The following is a 23,176-nucleotide window of genomic DNA, read 5'->3' on the forward strand; positions in this document are numbered from 1 at the left end:
TAGGCCCTAGACAAAAGATCCCAGACCGACGGATCTGCTGTATCATCAGGCATACAATTCAATCTTTCAGGGTCTCCATTTCCTCATGTGTCAGATAAGCACAGTTGATACCAAAGCCCGGCCACTGTCAGGATTAAATGAAATCACAGATACAAAAAATGCTTGACCAGTGAGGACAGTACACATGGGATGCACTGAAACCAAAGTGCATGTGAAATTATAGAGCAGTATGGAAAGATGCTAGAATTAGATCCTCGCATTTCTTGAAGTCAAAAGAGCAGGTCCTTTAGAAGGACTCCCCACCCCCACCCCCACCCCCACCCCCACTCCCATCTCACCAGGCCTGCCTCTGGGCCTCCAGGAGGGCAGCTGCTCTTGCAGAGATGTGAGAACAGTCCCCAGGCATCTGCCAGCTGGGGCTGGGGGGCCCAGGCTGCACCAGACTGGTGGGCGGGCCTCCAGCCAGCTCCCCAGCAGAGGTCTCTCTGGGGCTGAATGGGGCACGTGCCCAGGGCTAATTGACTCCCCTTTTATGATGATTCTCCCCGTTCCCCCTCCCCCCATACATACTCTGCCCGATTCAGCTTTCCTTATCTGGAATTCCTCCTCCTGTTTGTATTCCTTGTCCTTGACCCTTCCTCCCATTTGCTGCTCTAGATGAGGGGGAAAGGGGTTGGGGGCCAGGGCTGGGGCAGGGGTGAGCCTTTGAGCTAGTTAATCATCTCAGCCCAGGCTGCAAACCTCCCCGTGCTCAGTTTGCAGACGCCTGAAGGCCTACATGAGCAAAGCTCGATACAGATTTTCTGAGTGAATGCATGAATGAAAAAGAGGCGAGAGTGGAGGAGGAAGGGGGTGGGGGAACGTGGGCAACATGAGGAGGGGCTGAGGTTGCTGAGGTGCTGGGGGGAGAGGCTGCTGGTGGGTTGGGAGCAGGGGCCCACGCAGCTCTCAATTAAGTGCACTTGGATTCCATGGAAAGGCAGAAAGTGAAAGGGAAATCGCTGGCAGGCTGAGTCATTCCATCGGGTCGAACAATCGGAAGCAATTCGGCTTCCCACTGCTCTGGAGGAATCAAAAGCCACTCTGCCGGGCGGGCTTTTGTGCACAGGTCGTCAGCGTTCAGCTGCCGGGGAGTCTTCCTCCATCCCGGTGGGCAGCTTGTGTCTTAGCAGCATTGATTGACATTTCTCCCCAAGAACAAGATTACCCACCAATCCCAGCCTGCCCTTCCCCCTTCCAAAAATAAAGCCACAGTTACATGCAAAGCTCATGCAAATTTCACCCTGCTGCTGTTTGTGCTGCGGCTGGTCCCACGTGAGAGAGCAGAAGGCAGGCTCATCCACATTCATGGCTTGGACCCCAGGGCCCAAGTGAGCCGGGCACCGCTGGATAAAGGGAGCCTCTTCTGACGACCCGTGATACAGATCTTAAACAGGGGAGTGGGTGCAATCTCCAGAGGAGGGCTGGGCATCTGGCTAGACTCCCTCCCGTCTTACCTGGAGAGACAGAGACTGCAACCTAGGAGCAGATGGGACTCTGGAGGCCAGCATGTTGGGGGCAGATGGCCCCCTGCCTGCCAGATTTTTAACACCCAGAGTGGAGACTAAGTGGGCACCCCTGGAAGGTGAATTTAAAGATCCCAGGTCTGAGTCTGAGTGATGAACCGACATGAACCAACAGGGCCTTGGACAGAGACTGAAACATAGGTTTTACCCATTGATCAAGTCGGTATTCTGAGGCCAAGTTCAGGTTCAGTACGGAAGAATCAATGGAAACTGAGCGATGGCATGCATGGGCAAGGAGAAGGGGAGTGGAGCTGCTGTGAGCTCCCTAGGCAGGTTGACACCTGGTTAGCCTTTGGCAAATCCGACAACCCTAAATTGGATGGGAACTCTCTCAGCAGATCTCTGACTTTGTGGGATGCCTTTGTACCTCCCCTCTCTCCAAAATTCTGATCTTCCTTCACTGTCCCCAGGTCCACACTGTGGTCCTCTTCACTCTCTAGACCAGGGTCTTCCATGGAGGGAAGTGCAGCAGGTGCACGACTCTCCATTTCATGCCAGGAGATGGGATGGGCATGGGAGCCTCTCACTAACGGGCACCCTCAAGCAGAAAGAGGGTGTTGGGGCCCCTTCAGGGCATTACAGAGGTACCCACCTCCTTACTCCATCTATGCCTGAGGCCCTTCCTGAGTGGGCAAGACCAGGCGTCCCAGGCAGTCAAATGCGTTGGCACCAGATCACAGATGGAACCACAGAATGGAGAAAAGCTGTTAAGGCCAGCGATGCTTCAGTGCGCCGCGAGGCCCACAGAGCGTAGGTGGCATGTCCTAGGCCACTCAGCAAGGCAGGGGCAGAGCTGGGCTGGAAGCCTGACCCCCCAGCTCCCTCTCCAGTGCTTTCCTCTTACATCGTTCTTCCACAACAGAGCAGGAAGGAGGCATAGGTGGAGGGGGAAGAGCATTCTATGCTGAGAGGCGCTGCTACAAAAATACTCCCATCAGACCAAGGATGAAGCCAAGTCCCCCACCCTGCACCCCAGCAGCCTGCAGCTTCCCGTGTCATCAGCCATCAACAGCAGCTGAGGGCAGGTGATAAGTGCTGTCTTTCCAGGGAAAATTAAGGGAACTTTGGAGCTTGTGAGTTTGGATGGGGCAAGAGTATGGCGAAGGACAGAGGTGGCAAGACAGAGTAGAAAGAAGCAGGAAGGCTGGAAAGCCCTCTGCCACCTCTGCCATACCCAGGAGGGCTTTGGTTTGGACAGGGAAGAGGGAGAACTTAGGACAAAAGGCGCAGACTCCTCCAGGAGGTGGGCAGGTGTGGGACAGGAGGAAGGGTGGGGGAAACACAGTACAAGTCTTAAAGACACTCCCTCCCCTTCTGGCCTTACCCCTCACCCCTACTTCAGTAGGGCTCATCTTTTAGATGCACCGAGTGTGTCCTCTGTGTGTGTGTGTGTGTGTGTGTGTGTGTGTGTTTGTGTGTGTGGAGAGGGAAGGGGTGGAACAGGGAGACCTGGTTGATTTCACATTTCTGGGTTTCGGAACCCAGAAAGGATTGGAATTGAGGAAGCCCCAGCAGGAAGCACAGCTCAGATTCCTGACTTTGGGTGCTGGAAATGACCTGGCGTGGCACGAAGAGTTTAACCTGGTCCCTCAGGGAGGGCAGCTTTGGGTACCTGGCACTGTCTGTGTGTGCCTGAGTGTATTTTTGTGTGCTCAACAGCATGGGAGTCTGTGTGCACAAGCCAGGAAGCCTGTGGCCATTCCCAACGAGTCTCTACCTGTCCTGAGTTAAAGCTCTCTTGGTACCCTTTGATGTGTCTGGCTGAGGAATTTTGACTTCTGTGTCACCTCTGCCCTGATTCCTCAAGCTCCTTGCCTCCTCCTGCAAGGCTTCTCAGTGAACTAGAGCCTCACATTTAGCCCAGGAGCCGCTGAGCCTGGGTTGAGCATCCGGCCGTGTTTCCACTCTCCTGGAGTCTGTGGACCCCACAGCCCCTGACAGTGAGATAATTAACCTCTTGTTGGAAGCCCAGGGCTCCTGCAGTGTTGACCCCCAGCTGCCACCTAAGTCCCTCAGCTGTGCCCCCTCTGTCTCCATGAACCTTCCTGGTGAGTGTTACCAGCAGCAAGGCCAGAGGTGCTTAAAGAGGCTCCGAAGAGCCACCTGTAGATGCTCGGGGTCACTCCCACTTTGCTTCTGAACCTCCTTGCCCTTCTGGCCCCGGTGACGCTGAGTGACTCATAGGCCCCACTTGCCATCCTCTCGGTTCTTTCCCACCTACTCTTCCCTCTGCCAGGAACAACCTCCCTGACCGCGGCTGCTTCACCAGTGCAGGGATGGTGGAAAAGCGCCTCTCCCTCCCCCTTGCCTTCCTTGACTGTGTCTGAATAAAGCAATGCCAGTCCTATGCTCTGTTAAGAATTCAAACCCAAGACTATGCATTTCCATTGCCTGTGGTTTGGTGGGTGCACAGCGGCTGCTGGACAGACTAGCCATAGGCGAGCCAGGTGAAAGCAGGGCCGGGGCCTGGCTTGATGTGCCTGGTGGGGCAGCCGCAGCTGGGGGTCACCTCCCAGTATATGTGTCAGCACAGGCTTTGACAGGTAGAAAGAACAGCCACTGGAGGGGTGAGCTGCTGGGAGCACCTGTGCATTTTTTCAATATTCACAAGTACTTATTGAACATTTATTGTGCACAGTCTCCATCAGGGCCCTGTAGGCATAGCACTGAGCAGAACAGAATCTGCCTTAATAGAATCATGTCATGAATCATGTCAGACAATGGACACATTTAACTTGGCATTCAAGGTCCGATGCAATCTAAGCCCAACCTGTCTTCCCAGGTCATCTCCCACTATTTCAGGCTAGAATGACTGGGCCTGCTTCTTGACTGATCCACGATGTGCAGCTGCTGATACTCTGGGTCGCATCTGACCTCCAGAGTGACCTTACTGGTGTCCCTTGACCACCCTCAAGGGCCTGTCTTGCTTTTTTCCTCCCCTGTGGCTTTGCTCATGCCCAATTCTCCCTTCTGAGCCTGACCCCCCTTCCCAGATCAGGTCCTCATTGGTTTTCCCTGCTGGGTGGTCTTTGTATTTTGAAGTGGTGCCTTTGTCCACTAGACATGGAACTCTTTTTTGAGCCCAGATGCCGATGGGGACCCTAGAATCAAGACCCCCTAGCTGCCCTGTGCTTCTCCTGCTCCCTGTTGCATTTCTCAAATCTTATCAGTCCTTTGCCACTTACAAAGCCCTGTACCCACCTCTGCTGCCACACTCCCTGCAGACAACTTCATCTCTATAATACAGAGATAAGTAGAATCATTGGGAGGAAACTCCCTCAATTCCCTGAACTCATAAACCTGCAATTGACATGACTGCTGCCTCCTCTGTGCCTGTCACCGTGAAACAGAAGTCTGTCTTCATCTCAGACTAATCCTTCCAGCCATGGCGTGACTCTCGTCAACGCCAACCTTCTCACTTCCAGTTTTCTATTATTCTCTCCCATGAGCATTTAAACGTGCACAAGTCTCCCAATTCAAAAATAACATACAAGCTCCTGGACTCCATTTTCTTCTCCAGGGACCACTGTCTTTTTTCTCCCGTTCACAGCCAAGCTTCTCGAGAGAGACAGAACATCATACTCACTATTGCTGCTCGATCATTTCTCATTGGCTCTTCAATCCACAGAGGCCCTGGTTTCTGTCCCCACCAATCCACTAGAACTGCCCTCCGGGATGTTGCTAAATCCAATGGACCTTCCCAATAGTTAGCAAACTTGACCTCTCGGCGGCTCTGTCTCTTTCTTTTTCGGTCTGTGTTTTTTGAAACACTGCTTCCTTGGCTTATGTGATACCGTGATTGCCTGGCTTTCCTCCTGTTGCGCAGCCTGTCCTCTGTCACCTTTACCTCTTTCATTCTCTAAATGTGGATGCTTTTCAGGCTGTATCTGAGACCCTGACCTCTGCTCCTTCTGCACGGCGTCAGCTGCATCCACATGGGGATGATTTTTAGATCGTTATCTGCAGCCAAATCCTCTCCCCTGAGCTCCTGCCCTAAACATCCAACTGCGCTTCCCTCGGAGGGGCCACATCTCACCCTCGCACATCCACAGTGGAATTCTTCATTCTCTCTTGCTTGCCAGGATCCATCTGCCTTCAGCGTGCCCCTCCTTCTGGAATCCCGGTGTTAGTGAACAGCACAACTGTGATCAAGCCAGAAACCGGTCCCAAGAAACCTAAGCAAACCAGGAACTTTTGATTCCCACTCAGCCCTCACCCTACATCTGACCAGCCACCAAGCCCTGTCTCACTATTGCTTTTCCTCAAAACCAGCATTTCCCTGAGATTCCATAGCCACTGTCTTAGTCTAAGTTGCTATCATAGTTCCCTTGGGAAATTAATAGACCTGTTATATTTGTTTTTTTTTTTCCTAGCTCTCCCAAGGCTACCCTATTGCCCCAAAAATAAAGCCCAAATGTCCTAACATGGCAGAGAAGGCCTTCATGACTGGGACTTTCTGTATCTTTGTATCTTCATGTCATCCGCCACCACTTCCTCTCCTCCCCTCCCCAGGCCTGCCCGCCCTCTATTCTGAGACTGGAGTTTGTAAATCTGTCATTTTCTCCCTCAGACCCTGCCCTAGGTTTTCCCACGCTGCTCCCTAGGCCCAAAGCCCCTGGGACTTTGCTCAGAAGGCACTCTTCTGCTATGAAGCCTTCCCGTATCTGTGAGGCCCCTTCTGCGTGTTCTTACAGTGGGCATTAATCACTCTGTAGCACAGCTGCTCTCTACTTTGAGCTCTTTCTCAGTAGATGGCAAGACTGTTTTTCACCCAACACTGTACTCCCAGCTTCGAGCGCAGTACCTTCTGGCCCAAGACTCAGTGCTTGTTTGTTGAATGAATGGATAAGCGTGTGTTTATGCATCGTATTTTATTTTATGGTGCCTATGTTCTACCAGCTACCCTTTCCCAAATGCAACACCATAAAACACTCTACACAGTGGGTGTTTACGAACTTTTCATCCCTTCTCCTCATCCTAGGGAACCCCTTGGAATACACTAGGTAGCTTGGAGCATAGCGGCAATCATCTCCATCCCGGTGTGTGATGGAGGCTTCTCCATGTGGGCACTCATGCCTCAGTGGCACTCTGGCCTGAGCATTGGGTCCGAGCCTGTGGGCGTGTTGGAGTCTGTGGGCCTGAGTGTTAGACCCCCCTTATGTGGAGATAAGATTACAGCTGGACAGCGTAACCCAATGGGGCGTAAGTGCGTGTACCAGCGTCAACACTCCCTTGGTGTCGAGCTTTTCTGCACTCCAAGCTCCACTTTGTGAAAATAATCTGGGACACAGCACAACCAACTGTCCTGATCTGCCTGGGACTGTGGGAATTTCTGGGATGTGGGATGTCAGTGCTAAATCACCAGGAAAGTCCTCGTAAAGCGGGATGCATTGGTGGCCCCACCTAAACTGGAAGTTAGGATTTGTACAAAAGATTGAATTAGTTCTCAGTGACCCCTCGACCTAACCCTTGGTCCCTCACTGAGTGGGCTCCTTGGAGCGCTGTGATCAAAAACAAAGATAGAGTGGCTGCCATGATACTGTGTGTGTGTGTGTGTGTGTGTCTCAATGGGATTACCTCTCAGGATTGTGATATTCGCTTCCTGGAGGGAAGTCTCTGAAGGGCAGTGGGTGGGGGACAGATACTAATGTGTGTGGAAGAGATGGATAACTCATTAACTGGGGACAGAAAGAATTATGGTTGGGCGCCATGGCTCAAGCCTGTAATCCCAGTACTTTGGGAGACTGAGGCGGGTGGATCACCTGAGGTCAGGAATTCGAGACCAGCCTGGCCAACATGGTGAAACCCCATCTCTACTAAAAATACAAAAATTAGCTGGGTGTGGTGGCGGGCAGCTGTAATCCCAGCTACTTGGGATGCTGAGGCAGGAGAATCACTTGAACCCGGGAGGCAGAGGTTGCAGTAAGCCGAGATGATCGCGCCACTGCACTCCAGCCTGGGCAACAGAGTAAGACTTCATCTCAAAAAAAAAAAAAAAAAAGAATTGTCCATATGGGTTAGCTCCCAGCCTTACTTCCCCCACCCGGGAGAAGCTTTCCTGCAGACCCCAGAGAGAGGTGGGCTGGGAGTTGGGGAAGGGCCTAAGCAGGAGAAAAAATCTAAGAAGGCATAGGTGAGGGAATCCTAAAGGGTAAGGGGCAATCTCGGGGTAAGAGAGGAGAAAGAGAAGGAAACAAGGAAGGACGAGGAAGATGGAAAGTGCTGGTGGGTCCAGTCCTAGCAGCAGAGGGAGGGGTTAAGACTGGGACTCCGGAGAGGACCTCCATTGTGATGCAAATGAGTGACTGGGCAGAGAGAAGGGGCCCTGTGGGGAAGGGTGAGGGTGCAGGGCAAGGACAGCAGTAGGAGCTTACTGCAGTGACTGTATCATAACTGCTGGTTATGAGGATTGGATTTCTTTTTTGCAGATGTCACGTGCCGGGGTGAACTGTTATTAACTAAAAGGAGTCAGGGCTTAGCTGCAAGAAAGGAGGTATGTGGTTGAGTGCATTTCAACATGGGTAGAAGAAATGGTGTAGCCTGCAGAAATGAAGGCAGGTTTTTGGGACTGGAGCACATTTTAATGGGAGGAGAAGTCTATAAAGCTAGTAGCCCCCTACCTACTCCCCCATTATAACTACTTCCAAAAAATAAAGAAAATGTTTAAGAGGCCTATAGGTTATCAAGAAATAATATAATCCTGGGATAGATTCATTTTAAGATACGCTGGTTTAATGAATGGATGACTATGATATTATAAAATATATATTTGGTCTTTGACCCCATTTCCTGGCATCCTAAAATCCTTAGAGTCTCCAGAGTGATTTTTTTTTTTTTTTGACTGATGGTTGGTAGCTTCAGAATAGGGCAGGTCACCAGAAAGACCAAGGCAGGATTAGATGGTTGGGACTTTCAGCCACTGCCCCTAACCTCTGGGGAGGAGAGAGGGGCTGAAGGTTAAGTTGATCACCAATGGCCAATGGCTTAATCAATCATGCCTATGCAATGTAGCCTCCATAAAAACCCAAAAGGACAGGGCTCAGGAAGTTTCTGGATAGTTGAACACCTGGAGGGTCTTGGAGGGTGGCGTGCCCAGAGAGGGCATGGAAGCACCCCACCTCTTCTCCCCTGCCTTTCTCTACGCATCTCTTCATCTGTATCCTTTGTAATATCCTGTACAATCAATCAGTAAGTGTGTTTCACTGAGTTCTGTGAGCTGCTCTAGCAAATTAATCAAACCCAAGGCTGGGGTCATGGGAACTCCAATTTATAGCCAGTCAGAAGTATTGGTGAAACAACCTGGTGAATTAATCTCCAGGTAGGTAGTGCCATAAATGAACTGAATGAGAGAACATCAGAGGGTCCTCTGCAGAGCTGATTGTTTTCTTGTTGGTTGGGAAAACCCCACATATGTGGTAATAGAAGTCTTCTGGGTTGATTGTTACGGTGTTAGATCAGAGGAAAACGGTTTATTTATTAAAGGTGCTCCCAATACTGGACATTAGGATTAAGGGTAAGCATGTCAGAGGCATTTGAACCAGAGCAACTCCATGTTGAATAGGGGCTGGGTAAAATAAGGCTGAGACCTACTGGGCTGCATTGCCAGGAAGTTAAGGCATTCTAAGTCACAGGATGAGACAGGAAGTAGGCAGAAGATACAGGTCATAAAGACCTTGCTGATAAAACAGGCTGTGGTAAAGAAGCAGGCCAAAACCTACCAAAACCAAGATGGTGATGAGAGTGACCTCTGGTCGTGCTCACTGCTCATTATATGCTAATTATAGTGCATTAATATGCTAAAAGATATTCCCAGCAGTGCCTTGGCAGTTTACAAATGCCCTGGCAATGTCAGGAAATTACCGTATATGGTCTAAAAAGGGAGGAACCCTCAGTTCTGGGAAGTACCCACCCCTTTCCCGGAAAACTCATGAATAATACACCCCTTTTTTTAGCATATAATCAAGAAATAACTATAAGTATATTCAGCTGAACAGCCATGCTGCTGCTCTGCCTATGGAGTAGCCATTCTTTTGTTTTGTAAACTTGCTTTCACTTTATGGACTTGCCCTGAATTCTTTCTTGAGCAAGGTCCAAGAACCCTCTCTTGGGGACTGGATTAGGACCTCTTTCCAGTAACAAGTATATAAGGCTGGTATTAATTCCAACAGGACAAACCAAGAAATGGTTTAAGAACTGGGCCTTTAACTGTGGATTTTCACTTTGTAGGCTGATCTATGAGTTGGAGGAAGTAGGGTGGGGTGTTAGAAAATTCCAGCAACTCCAGGTGGGCGAACTGTCCTAAAAGCACCCTTTTCTCTGTTTCTGTGCACCATAGTGCCAAGAATCTGGTGCAAGATCCAAAACAGCAGGATTTGTCAGCCTCCTAGCCATTTCCCAGTAGGACTTGCTGTGTCTAATGCCAATTCCAGCTTGGTGCAGAGCTTGGGAACCCTGGGACTGGAGGGAAGGCTGGGAGCAGGATAATGTGTGTGTGGAAACACTCCCATCTACTATGAGCACCTTGGAACGTCTTGCTCACCACTGTATGTATCACTTAGCACAGCGCCTGGCACATAGTTGTGTTACAGTAGGTAGTCGGGCAGGCATGAGCAGGGCAGGAGAGTCCCCAACCCAGGAATGTCAGGTGACCATCAGATGGTCAGGTGGTTGTTACAGTGTGTCGCTGAAATAATAATTGGTCACAGCTGGTGCCAGGGACAGGCAGTCTCCCAGTAGATAGAAACACCTGAAGCTGGTGATCAGCAGCTTCCTGATAAGATCTCAGCAGTTGGGTGTGTGGGTTCAAGCATGCGCACTAAGAGGCAAAATGGTATAACTGGTATATTACCTTCCTCTAGGAACGAGACAGGTAAGTGGAGAATTCCTCAAATGAGCATGCACACAACTTCAGTAAACCCACGGTGCAGGTACAGCATTTGCCCTTCCCAAGTGCTGGCAGGCCACTGTGCATGTGGACAGCCCACCCAAAGGGAAGAATCAGGAGGAAATAACGCAACAGGAAGATGCCAACATAAGACCCCAGGTCAAAGGTCAAACCGTACACTTGACTCTCTCACAGGCCTCCCACCGGGCTCTCTTACAAGCGTGCTTCACTCCATTTCATTCCTGCCCTGATAGTTGTTAATACACTTTCACTCCTGCTCTAAAACTTGCCTCAGTTTCTCACTCTGCCTTATACCTCCTCTGTCTAATTCTTTCTCTGAGGAGGCAAGAACTGGGGTTGCTGCAGGCCTGTATGGATTTGCTGCTGCTAATATGGAGCTCAATACATATTCATCAAATGAATGAATGAATGAATGGACTTTCTGCCTTAGTTCTCTCCTAGCTCAAATAGATCTTCCACATTGCAGCAACTAGGCACTGCCTTTCTAAAACACAGACTTGACAGCTTCAGGTTCTTTTCCAGCCTCTCCTCTCTCCAATAATTGTCTTAATTTCCTTCCTCGGAGATCTGTACTCACTCCCTGCAGTACATTCATGACCCTTTATGCCCTGGGTCCCAACCCCAATTGCCAGTTTTATTTGTCCTGTCACCTGTCAGTGCTTTCTCACCATTTCTTCCAAATGCCACTCAGCACATAATGCTCTCATGTGCCACAGGCACAACCTAGAATCTCTTTCACAAAACTTCTCCCTATATCTCCAGCCTTCTGCCTGTGAAAACCCATCCTTCAAGGTCCAGCTCAAATGTCACTTCCTCCAGGAAGCCATCCTATGTTTTCTTTGCTGCCTTGTCTGTCATTGTACAATGGCAGACTGAAACTCTTAGAGAATTGATTTCATTCTGTTTCTGAAGTAACCTGTTCTTTATCTGTCTATCCCCTCTGCTAGTCTTTGGGCTTCTTGAAGACTAACATTGTTTTGTCTCCATTTACCCAGCTAAACAGCCATCCAAGGAAGGAGGGAGGGAAATCAGAGAGGCTCAAAGAAGTTGGAAGATGTGTTAGTGGGCTGGTGACAGGAAAATAAAAAATAGCAGACATCTAGCTATTTGCCTCAGAAATTGCTGGACTTTGGAAGGCTGAATTGAGAGAATCGCCTGAGGCCAGGGGTTCGAGACCAGCCTGGGTGACATAGTGAGACCCCCCATGTCTACAAAACATTTTAAAATTAGCTGGGCGTGGTGCCATGCACCTGAAGTCCCAGCTACTGAGAGTCTGAGGTGGGAGGATCGCTTAAGTCCAGGAGTTCCAGGCTGCAGTGAGCTCCAGCCTGGGTGATGGAGCAAGACCCTGTCTCAAAAAAAAAAAAAAAAAAAAAGAGGCTGAGCATGGTGATTTATGCCTGTAATACCAGCACTTTGGGAGGCCAAAGTGAGCAGATCGCTTGAGTTCAGGAGTTTGAGACCAGCATGGGAAACATGGTGAGACCCCAACTCTAATAAAAACAAACAAATAAGCTGGGCATGGTAGCACATGCCCGTAGTCCCAGCTACTCAGGAGGCTGAGGTGGGAGGATCACCTGAGCCCAGGAGGTTGAGGCTGCAGTTAGCCATGATCTCTGGGTGACAGAGAGAAACCGTGTCTCAAAAAAAAAAAAAAAAAATTGCTGAAATTGCCAGTGAATTTTCTTTTCCTGATTTCACTTCCATCCCAAGAAGTAGAATTGCTACTGACCGAGAAAAGAGGTGAAGGAGGCCTTAGGCCATCCTCCTACACAGGAGACAGTGAAAGTGCTTGCTCTTATTCCCTTAGGTACCACCCCAACCCCAGATGAGGCTGGATTTCCCTCGTTTTCTCAGTTCTTTCTTTCGAAGAATCGGCCCTGATCTTCTTAGAGTAGCCCACAATAAGGGTGCACCCTTCCTTCTGCTTTCATCTGCCCAGTAATAGTGCTAATTGGAAGGACTTTGGCTCTTCCCGCAGCCTGGCTTTGTCAGGCGTAACAGTCCTCTCTCATTCTCTGGATGTGGCTCGTGTTCCTGCTGGCAGTCTTCTTCAGAGTTCACTTGTCATTCAGACCTCTGTGAAAGGCCCCCTTACAACTTGCTCATTCACTGTACCTCATTGTCCCTGCCCATTCATTGACATTCATGGGGATAATTCCTCCCGCTGCCACATGCACGGAGGCGCGTGCACATGTGTTCAGACCCCATGTCCCATTAGCAGTGAGAACACTTGAAATAAAAAAGCAGCACCGCCTGAATGTGGAACTGCCTTCCCCTTTAATAGCTGGGGAGTCGATTGCGCTAATGTTATTTCAAGAAGTGCCAGGAGAATTGGTGGGCACAGCAGAGCAGGGAGGGAGGAAGGGGCAGGGTGGTCCTGACAGTTCCCTTCCTTAAAGCACTGTCAGCGACATCACTCCGGACAGACCCAGCTCTCCTCCTCCCATCCTTCCTCCTTAGATCCAGCCAGTTCTGGGAGCTGCACTCCCTACCTTCCACCTGGACATTAGCCTGGCATTCAAGGCTCTCTAAAAAACCGCTCACAAGTACCTCCCAGACTTACCTTCTACCTCCTCTCTAGGCTGAATTCTTCTCTAACCAGCCAGGTCTAGGCTGATGATCTGCAGCTCACAGTTCGCTTATCTGTTCTTTCAAATCATTCCCCAGGGCCTGGGTGGCTGCAATGGCAGCAAGAACAGTTGTTCTCCCTGAGCTACTCAGCAAAGACGGTGTCTACTCAGTATTTTTTAACGTAATGGTTATAGGAATGGTTGAAGAAAATCATTACAGAAGCAGGACAAGGGTAAGATTGTGAGATGGGAGAGGATATCATTTGGATGTTTGTCCCCTCCAAATCTCATGTTGAAATTTGATCTCTAAGGGTGGAGGTGAGGCCTGGTGGGAGGTGTTTAGGTCACCGGGGTGGATCCCTCAAGAATGGCTTAGTGGCCTGGACACGGTGGCTCACGCCTGTAATCCCAGCACTTTGGGAGGCTGAGGTGGGCAGATCACCTGAGGTCAGCAGTTCAAGACCAGCCTGGCCAACATGGTGAAACCCCATCTCTACTAAAAATACAAAAAAAAAAAAAAAAAATTAGCTGCGCATTGTGGTGGGCACCTGTAATCTCAGCTACTCGGGAGGCCGAGGCAGGAGAATCGCTTGCACCTGAGGCAGAAGTTGCAGTGAGCCAAGATCGCACCATTGCACTCCAGCCTGGGCAACAAGAGTGAAACTCTGTCTCAAAAAAAAAAGAATGGCTGAGTGCCCTCCTCACAGTCATGAGTGAGTTCTTGCTGAATTCGTTTGCACAAGAGCTGGTCATTGAAAAGAGGCTGGCATCTCCTCTCTCTCTCTTGTTCCCTCTATTACCATGTGATATGTCTGTTCCCCCTTCACCTTGCACCATGGATAAAAGCTTCCTGAGACCTCACCAGAGCTGAGCAGATGCTGGGGCCATGCTTGTACAACCAGCAGAACTGTGAGCCAAATAAACCTCTCTTCTGTATAAATTACCCAGTCTCAGGTATTCCTTTATAGCAATGAAAAAATAAATGGACTAATACAGGAGATAAGAGAGAAAAGAGTTGGTGGAAGGATGGAGCTATCATTATAGTTGATTCTGCTACCAGCCCCCCAGAGTATAGCCCCTGGCCACCCCCTGACCTTCAGAAACAGGCTCCGTTCTCTCTGATGTTAGGACCTGAACTTCTCCTCTGAGTACTGCAATCCCACCACCAAGCCTTCCAAGACTCACTCTAGTTCTGCCTTTCCATGAAGAGGGCCTTTTCTAGTCACCACGAGGGTCCACAGTCCTTTGACAGCCATGGGGTTCTTGGCAATACCCTCACTGGCACTTACAAGGCCTTTCATGTGCACACACCATAATGACTCATTAGAGACTTCAAGTTTCAGAGAGGAAGAGGTGGCGACTCATGCCTCTGTAGCCCTCCAGAGCACTGGTGGGAAAGGCTTGCCTCTGAGCAGCTGCTCTCTGAGCCTGCTGGGCCTCTGATCTGGCAGATGCAGAATGGTGTTTGCTGGCCATGTGGAAAACAGTAGAATGAGTTATCTCACAGATATGACAGATATGACCTGGGGGCAGTTGCTACTGAGCACCAGGAGCATTTGGTGACCAAAAAAGCATAGGCTCTAAGGTCAAACAGATGAGGACTGTAACGTAGCTCCTTCTTGACTAGCTGTAAGAACTGCTACCTAATTGCTTTGAACTGTAGTTTTTCCTTTCGCATTTAAGTTGTGCTTGGGCTTCTCCACCTTGGCATTATTGACAAAGGCTAGGTAATTCTCTGTTGTAAGGGGCTGTCCTGTGTGTGGTAGGACATTTAGCAGCATTCCTGGCCCCTACATTCTATGTGCCAGTTGCACTCACTCCCCTTTTCCACCAGTAGTTACCTTTAAAAATGTCTCTAGATGTTGCCAAATATTCCTTAGGTGGGTGGGTAGGGGGCAAAATCTTTCTCAGTTAAAAATCACTGATCTTTACACCCTGGGGTTTTAAAGATGAGAGGATGTGATAGTGCATGGGACTTGTCTGATGATGTCTAGCATATAGTAGTAGATACTCATACATGTTGGTCCCACTGGATATTTCAAGAATAGAATTCTTTGAATAGAATAGAATAAAATAGGACACTTTCTCTTCCATCCTCATGCACCATGGAGCATCCCTGGGGGCTCAGAAGTGGGATGGATAGAGCCTGACTGGGCTTGAGAAGAGCTCTGGAGAAGGTATCTCCACCCAGTGATCTCCCCAGTGGCTTCACTGGTCAGGACTGAAAAGAAGACACTTCATGGATGCTCAGATGTGTTCTGGAACTGTCTCATGAGAAAGGGATGTTCTGTATGGTCTGAATGTTTGTGTCCCCCAAAAATGCATATGTCGAAACTTAGTGACCAATGTGACGGTATTAGGAGGTAGGGCCTTTGGGAGGTGATTAGGTCATGAGGGTGGAGCCCTCATAAATGGGATGAGTGTCCTCAGAGAACTACCTTGTCCCTTCCACCATCTGAAGACATAGCAAGAAGGCACCTGCTATGAACCAGAAAGTGGGTCCTCCCCAGACACTGAATCTGCTGGCACCTTGATCTTGGACTTCTCAGCCTCCAGAACTGTGAGAAATACATTTCTGCTGCCTATTGGCTACCTCGTTCATGGTATTTTTTTATAGCCGCCCGAACAGACTGGAGTCTGTTCTGGAAACCCGGAGAGGGATACAATTTCAGCAGTTTACATGGAGAGCCATTTCCAAGCAGACAGCCTGTTTCTACTTCAGTTCTTCCTCCACACCTGGTTGTTCTGGGGAGACAGATGGTCCATTCTAGAGAAGGGAATATGAGTTATGTAGAGTAGCAGCTCCTACCAGCAAGGAGAGAGTGTGAGACACACTGTTGAGATGTTAGCTTGGCTGGAGTGCAGGATGGAGGGACTCAGGGTCTTCTGGCTGCAACTTCAGGTCACAGAGGAGAGAGTAACCAGCTGTGGCCACTGCACATCTGGCCTAATGTGCATCCTGCCTGCCCAAATCCAGGCCTGTCTATTCCTTCAGGCCTAGGATCAATGGAAATCTTCCAAGTCAGCAAATCAGGCTTCCACCAGAGGCAAAACCAACTGAATATAGGAAATCTCAGGGTTGCCCAAGCAATAGATGCTCCAACCCCTCTTTCTTGATGGTGGAGTAGAAATGACAATGGACTGGAGGTCAGGCATCCTGGACTTGAACTTGCTCTGCTTGGCCATTGACTAGTTGTGTGGTCTTGAGTGAGTCATTCTCTCTGGGGCTTCCTTTCATCATCTCCCCATGGGCAGCTTCATAACCGCTCTTTCCAACTGAGAGGCTCTGGCTGGATCAGCAAACAAACACGCTTTGAGAAGAGAGAAAGGATTGTTGGCAAATGCCCACCAGCAAGTTCAGCCTCATGTTGAAGAAGCACCGGCCATGCCAGGGCCATTTAAAAGGGAGTCACTGGATGAAGGACTGAGCTAACAGGATGAGCACAGCCAAGGCAAACCATCTCTGGGAGACCAGAGCACAGCTGCCCTTCTGAAGATAACCAGGTCAGTGTGGAATAAGAGCTGGGAGCCCGCAGCCATCAGAGCAGAGGATGAGAAAGAAGGAGTTTATTGTTTGTTTTTGTTTTAATCACAAGATTAGTTAAGAGAAGGTAAAGGCATGCACATTTCACTTTTTTTTTAATGGAGAGAGTATTAAGAACCAAAAGCCCAAGAGAGTGTTCTTCACTTTTACGTGTACATTGTCCGTGGAGACCTGTAGACCTGACCTCGGGGTACTAAGCCACACTCTGTGGTTCTCGCCTCTGCATTTGCTCATTTTCACCCTCTCTGCTCCCTACCTTGGGGCCTGCATCATCTCATGCCTAGCATGTAATGACAACCCCCAAGGCAGCCGGCTTACCTCTTCTGCCTCCAACCCATTCTACACAAAGGTCATTCTAAACACAGATTTCAACACTTGGGTCACTTATCTGCCTGATAACCTTTCCCTGCTCCCATAGCCTATCTCATCAAGACCCATGCTCCCATCCGATAGTCTTAGAAAACCCCTCCACTAAGTGGTGAAATGAAAAGGCTGTGATCGAAACTGATCTTACAACTACTTCCTCATGGGGAGAACTCGGCCGAGCCTCTTTACTCTCTGAGCCCAGTTCCTTATCTCTGAAAACGACATAAAGAGCTCACAGGTGGTGACCTCATAGGCACACAGTGAGGATCAATGATACAATGGACGCAAAGGGCTTTACAAACTCTAAAGTGCAGTACCAACATTCCCATCCATTCAAGTCTCTGCAAGATGGATTTCTTGTGGTTCTCACATTGCTTCCCTTCGTAGAGATTCTCCCTCCTTTTACTCATCATGAAAATCCTGCCCTTGTGAGCTCATCAACTTCCACACCCTGATGCCTTCCTTCACTGGCCATATCCTTTAGGACTGAGCCTGCCACCCTGACCTGCCTCAGTTCTTCCATGTGTAGATACGAGTTAGTGAGCCCCACTATGTCTCTGGGGCTTATCCATAATCTCATTTACTTCTCACAATAAATTAATATACAAAAACCAACTGAACTTCCATATACTAGCAACAAATAAATCAAAAAAGACATTGAAAAACATGTAATTTACAAAATGTGTATGCTTGGGAATGAATATAACCGAAGTTGTGTATGACCTCTACACTGAAAACTCTAACGTATTATTGTGATGAATTAAGGAAAATCTATATTAATGCAGAGATATGCCAGGTTCATGGGTCACAGACTTGATAATCTAAAGATTTACATTTTATGCACATTGACCTAGTGACAATACAATCACAATCAACATCCTAGCAGCTTAGATACTAAAATGCAAAGGAGCAAGAATAACCAAGACCATTTGGTGAAGAACTAAGCTGGAGGGTGTATATCAGCAGACAGCAAGACTTAATGGTAACTAAAACAATGTGGTATTGATACAGGTAAATAAATTGACCAATGGAACCAAATAGAATTCAGAAACAAACCCAAATATATAAGATCACTTGATTTATGAAAAAGGAGACATGGCAGGCAAGTGAGACAAAAAAATGCTGCTGGGTCAACCAGGATCCATTGAGGAAAAAGTAAATATTGACTCCTACTTCCTACCACACACGAATATTTCCAGATGATTGTAGATACAAATGCAAAAGGTTAACACCCTAAAGCATCTAGAAGAAAACCAAGGATAATATCTTCTTGACCTTTGGATAGGCAAAAATTTCTTGGCCAGGTCATTAAAAAAGCACTATTCTAGAGGAAAAATATTAATAAATTAAGAATTTTTCTTCATCAAAGGTCTCAACTTGGAATGAAAAGGCATGCCATAGAATAGAAGGAGATATCTACAATACACACACCTGACAAAGTACTCATATCAGAACATAGAAAACAATTCTCGTAAATCTCTAATAGAAAAACAGAAACCAAATTTAAAATGAGCAAAAGATTTGAACAGGCTAGGACATGCTAATGGACAAAAATAGGACATGCTAATGGACAAAAATATATAAAAAGGTATACTCACTGTGAGTACTGATTAGGAAAATGTAAGTTAAAATCATAATTAAATACCTACCGCTAGGCCACTATTCAATGGTAAAATGAAAAAGTCTGATAATACCAAGTGCTGGTGAGGATGTGAAGCAAGTGAAACTCTCATACACCACTGGAGGGAGTGCAGACATGCTCAGCCACACTATGAAAATGTTTGGCTGTGTCTATCCAAGTTGAACACAAGCCCAGCAATCCCACTCGTAGAGGTACACCTGGCAGAAATGGCCACATGTGTTCACTTAAAGACCTAGCAGTTTTGTGCGTAAGAGTCCCAAACTCAAAATATCCGGAGACCTAAATGCCTATGCACAGTAGAATGAATGGGCTGGGGTTCATGTGTAGAGGGGATCCCAGGGAGCAACGGGCACGAATGACAGCACTGCTGCTACAATCACAACATGGACCAGTTTCACAAAGGACACGTTCTGTGCAATTCCATTCAGTAAGATGTTTAAAAAGAGGTAAAAATTATGGTGTCAGGATGGGGAGCAGCAGGGATTAGCAGAGGAAGACAAGGGGTTTCCGGGGGGTACTTTTAATGTTCTCTCTTGACTAGGCTTCTATGTATATGAAAAATTTGCAAACTTGTCTAGTTGTTCACCTATGGTTTGTGCACACCTCTGCATGTATATTATACTTCAATACATTGATTTTAAAAGATTATCACAATAATCCTACGAGGTGGTTCTTTCTGCCCAATTTACCAATCAGGAAACATGTCTCAGAGAGGACGAGAAAGGTGTTCGGTGCCGGTCACTTGGAAATGAGAGGCAGAGCTAGAATTCAAGCCCACACTATGTGAGTTCCTAAACACCATCTCCTGACTTTACATGGAGTAAAGTCCACCCTTTCACGGGGCCCAGCTCCTCACTGGAGCTTCGTGCCCTGGAAGGCAGGGACTCTAAACTCCCACATCTTTGCTGTCAGCACAGGGCTGGACACTGCTGCTCAGCAGATGCTCAGCAAGAAGTAAAAGGTGAAAGTAAAATGTAAACCCTTGCCCACCTCGTTCTTTCGCTCCCACCCTCAACTCTCTTTCCCTTCCTGGCTCTACAGAGGGTCTATGAGCTTGCCCTGGCTGTTGACCCTGCCTTGCTCCTCTGCAGAATCTGTGCCGTCTTCAGGGCAGGGAGGTTACAGCAATGCTCCCAGAACTCAGTCCAGAGAGAGAAGAGTGAGTGAAGGGGAGAAAGAATGCTGCTGCCCGGGACCAGGCATGGTGGCTCACGCCTATAATCCCAACACTTTGGAAGGCTGAGGCAGGTGGATTACCTGAGATCAGGAGTTCGAGACCAGCCTGACCAAAATGGTGCAACCCCATCTCTACTGAAAATACAAAATTAGCCAAGCATAGTGGCACATGCCTGTAATCCTAGCTACTTGGGGGGCTGAGGCAGGAGAATTGCTTGAGCCCAGGAGGTAGAGGTTGCAGTAAGCTAATCACGCCAAAGCACTCCAGCCAAAAAAAAAAAAAAAAAAAAAAAAGGTTCCTGGCTTCTTCCCCTTCCCTAGCCCAGCCCACCTGCAGATGGGCCACCCCCAAGCAGAGGGTGGGGTCCTCCACTCCTTTGCTGGGGATGGGGAATCCCGACTGTGGGTCTGCCCAGCCCCCACCTCCTGCCTCTCCCTGCCCCAGGTGCAATCCTGTCTCCTGCTCCGTCTCAGCCTCACAAGCTCCTTCTCCTTCTCAAAGAGGAGTGAAGCTTTCCTGGTGTTGTCAGCTCAGCCGAGCAGAGCTTGTCTTCCCACTGTCTCCCTCCCTCCCCCACACAGCTGGGGGATTCTGAAATCACCGCCTCGCTGCAGAATCAAGACCTGGATGTTGTCAGGAGCCTCTGCAAAGGCTGACTGCCAGCATCCCACGTCTCAGGAAGTGGGTGGCCACTGCTCAGGAGAAGCTGCCTGGAGACAGCCTCCCTCCCTCGCCATCACCTCTGGCCAGAGGCGATGCGCAAGTGGAAACAGCAGTGCCCAGTCCAGGGCGGGGAGGACACAGCTTCCTCTTGGGCTTCCATTCACTGCATGTGTCCTGTGCACTAGGTATGGGACGATGTACGACACACACATGATCTGGTGCCTGCCTCACCCCAACCCCAAGAGGGTGCACTGTTACTACCCCAACTGATGGATGCAAAAAAATGATGCCTCAGGTTTTATATCTGGCCAGTGGCAGTACCTGGCTTCAAACCTAGGTTGCGGTCAACAGCCGTCTAGCAATACACACGCACAGGCATCGAGCACATGGCTCTCCCACCACTGGGGCCCCTGGCACCCCTCTCCCCACAGCTTCCCTGCTCCTCTAGAACTCACCCCAACTCTGCGCCCAACCTGCCCCTCCTCTGCCTCCCCTGCGTCTTCCAACCCTCCCCTCTGGGTTCAGGTAATCCCTTCATTTAATCCTCTTCCCCCAAGTCTTGGGCCACTACTTCCATTTCCTTGTCTGTAAACTGGAGCTATGGGTAGTACCCACCTCATAGGGTTTTGGTAAGTATTGAGTAAAATTTTATTTGTAAAAGAAGGATATAATTAAGAGCTTAAAAATAGCAGCTGGTTTTTTTTTTTTTTTTTTTTAGACATATGGGACTTGGTGACTTAAGACACAGTGGGATTGCTTGGCCTCAAACTCTTTTTACATTTGTTTCCAACTTCACAAGGCCGTGGGCTCTATTTCTTCTGGCTGCTTATCTAAAGAACTCACAGCAATTCCATTTCGGGCCTTTAGAGATTAGATTTAGGAAAACAGATTTGTAATCATGTATCAATTGTTTGCAGGAATTGCTCTTAAAGTGCTTGGAAGTCACCGATCTAACCAACGGACAAAAAATTTCCTGAGGACAGACCCTCCCCTCTGGAGGCATCCTTCTATCATTGGGTATGGATGTAACAGGTTTGCCTGCAAAGGCTGAGCCTTCCCTGATCCTTAGAAGTGGGCCAGGCAGACAAGCGGCTGATCGTGGGGGTCCTCCTGCCACTTCCTCCTGCAGAGTTCTGTCCTGCTCCCTCAGAAGCTCAGGTCTGGGCAAGACCCTGAGACCAGCACTGCAATTAAACCACATCCACAATTGGCCCCTGCCAGAAGATCCCCACCCACCTCCTGGTCCCTCAACTGCTCCAGGGTCAGGCAATGGAGCACAGTTCTCAGCTGCTGGCAGGAAAGCAGGGAGGGCTCTGGGTTTGTGTGGCCATTTCCTCTTGTCTCCTGTCCTGGGACCTCCCTAAGACCCTCCTGGGTGGAGGCTTATTAAGCAGGGACCCTATCGCAGCACCATGATTTTCAACTCTTGGCAGGCTTCCCTAAAAGCATTTTATGCCAATGCGACTGAGGCTAATTCCAGGCTGCCTGAGTTTAACAAGCTCCCCATCTCTCATCAGCTCCTGACTCCCCGAAGCAAGGTCAAGTGGGAGTTTAATAGCTGTTCCTGGGACTGTGCAGAGGGCAGCCCTTTGAACTCAGTGTCTCAATCCCACAGGTGGGAGGTTCCCACCACTGCGTAATTTCGAGAGGGAGGGCCGAGACTGCCTGGGGGGAAGTCCCATGGCTACCTGGTTCGAGGCAGCTCTTTGATATCTCCTGGAGCACTCCTGGTCCTAGAACCAGACAGCTCTCAACTGAACTGACACAAGTAACAAACTCAGCATCCCCTCTCCTGGGCATTCCTACAAGCCATGCGAGCCCCGTGTTGGTGGAGACACTGCCTTCTCCACCGCAGACACCAACAAGTTAGAATGGAGAAACTGTCTATGGCCCTACCACTCTGAACACGCCGGATGTCATCTCATCTCGGAAGCTAAGCAGGGTCGGGCCTGCTTAGGACTTGGGTGGGAGAATGGAGAAATTGATGGACTTTTGACGATGCAGGTTTTAACATCAGATCTGAGCCCTAATAGCTGTGTGTCTCAGCTGTCTGGGCCACACCATTAACAGGGAAAAGTTTCCTCCACTTAAAGAAAGAAAAAGACAAAGAGGAGAAGGAAGGCAATACGGAGCTCTCCTGGAAGGTACATTAAATCATTAAATGCCAGCCTGCCTGTTTCACGTAGGAGGACTCGTATATGTGTTCCTGGTAGGGAATGTGTGTCCAAAACACCAGCATCTTCTTCTCAGCCCACCCAGGCTGCCCCCATCTTGTTTAATGCCGTTTAGGCAGAATAACTATTTCTCCAATTTTCCAGTGCAGAATTAGACTCTTTAACTTGACTTCTGCATTTTCCTATGTGAGACTCAGCCGGATGTATGTCCTCTCCCACGTGTACAACCCCCATAAACTGAACTAAGAGAGAAGTTTCATTTTATTTGTTTTTCTTTCTCTCCCTTTCCTGACCTTTTGTGCTACATAATCCAGAAAATGATCCAGATGGGAAAGACATTGGCTTTGAAGCAGGAGGAAGGAGGAAGGAAGAAAGGAAAGGAGAATAACCCCACTTCTGTCCAGCCACTGCCCTTGGGGAGAAATCTCCCTCCCCTAAAGTCTGTCCCATGCACGGGCTTGAGATGGTATTGTGGGGTCCTTCCCGAGGGAGGACAGAAGCCCAGCTGACTTGGATGGCCTCCCAACCTTCTCCCCTCAGCTCCTCCACTCCTGCACCACATCTGGC

General features: G+C 49.0%; 1 protein-coding gene, 1 long non-coding RNA gene and 1 pseudogene across 5 annotated transcripts in view, besides 5 other annotated features; 2 read left to right on the top strand and 1 right to left on the bottom strand.

Moving 5' to 3' along the window:
- Window positions 1-23,176, bottom strand: part of LZTS1 (leucine zipper tumor suppressor 1) — a 57,799-nt gene that overhangs the window by 21,692 nt on the left and 12,931 nt on the right. Inside the window, exon 1 of one of the 4 annotated variants that reach the window (XM_047421309.1) lies at window positions 5,602-5,679. The exons of 1 other annotated variant lie outside the window; for it this stretch is intronic. The gene's annotated coding sequence lies outside the window, so the exon portion shown is untranslated. Of the gene's footprint in view, window positions 1-338; window positions 409-5,151; window positions 5,680-23,176 lie in introns of those variants that run through there. 2 more of the 4 variants (NM_001362884.2, XM_011544385.3) reach the window with 2 other exon arrangements.
- Window positions 782-1,076: an enhancer, noted in NCBI's record as "tiled region #10012; HepG2 Activating DNase matched - State 4:PromP". NCBI's record gives its function as "activates a minimal TATA promoter and a strong SV40 promoter by Sharpr-MPRA in HepG2 cells {active_cell/tissue: HepG2}" and the evidence as "EXISTENCE:reporter gene assay evidence [ECO:0000049][PMID:27701403]".
- Window positions 782-1,337: a biological region, named in NCBI's record as "Sharpr-MPRA regulatory region 10012".
- Window positions 802-1,337: an enhancer, noted in NCBI's record as "OCT4-NANOG-H3K27ac-H3K4me1 hESC enhancer chr8:20126169-20126704 (GRCh37/hg19 assembly coordinates)". NCBI's record gives its function as "activates a minimal SCP1, AML or CMV promoter by ChIP-STARR-seq in primed H9 embryonic stem cells {active_cell/tissue: H9 hESC(primed)}" and the evidence as "EXISTENCE:reporter gene assay evidence [ECO:0000049][PMID:30033119]".
- Window positions 1,342-1,401: an enhancer, noted in NCBI's record as "active region_27065". NCBI's record gives its function as "activates an Ori minimal core promoter by ATAC-STARR-seq in GM12878 lymphoblastoid cells {active_cell/tissue: GM12878}" and the evidence as "EXISTENCE:reporter gene assay evidence [ECO:0000049][PMID:35858748]".
- Window positions 4,018-4,553: an enhancer, noted in NCBI's record as "H3K4me1 hESC enhancer chr8:20129385-20129920 (GRCh37/hg19 assembly coordinates)". NCBI's record gives its function as "activates a minimal SCP1, AML or CMV promoter by ChIP-STARR-seq in naive H9 embryonic stem cells {active_cell/tissue: H9 hESC(naive)}" and the evidence as "EXISTENCE:reporter gene assay evidence [ECO:0000049][PMID:30033119]".
- LZTS1-AS1 (LZTS1 antisense RNA 1) lies at window positions 7,917-22,602 on the top strand. Its single transcript, NR_047509.1, has 3 exons — window positions 7,917-8,058; window positions 21,353-21,452; window positions 21,953-22,602. It is a non-coding gene; the product is annotated as an LZTS1 antisense RNA 1 (long non-coding RNA).
- Window positions 22,318-22,433, top strand: RNA5SP257 (RNA, 5S ribosomal pseudogene 257; annotated as a pseudogene).

Source organism: Homo sapiens, chromosome 8 (genome assembly GCF_000001405.40).
Source record: "Homo sapiens chromosome 8, GRCh38.p14 Primary Assembly".
Lineage (NCBI taxonomy): Eukaryota > Metazoa > Chordata > Mammalia > Primates > Hominidae > Homo > Homo sapiens.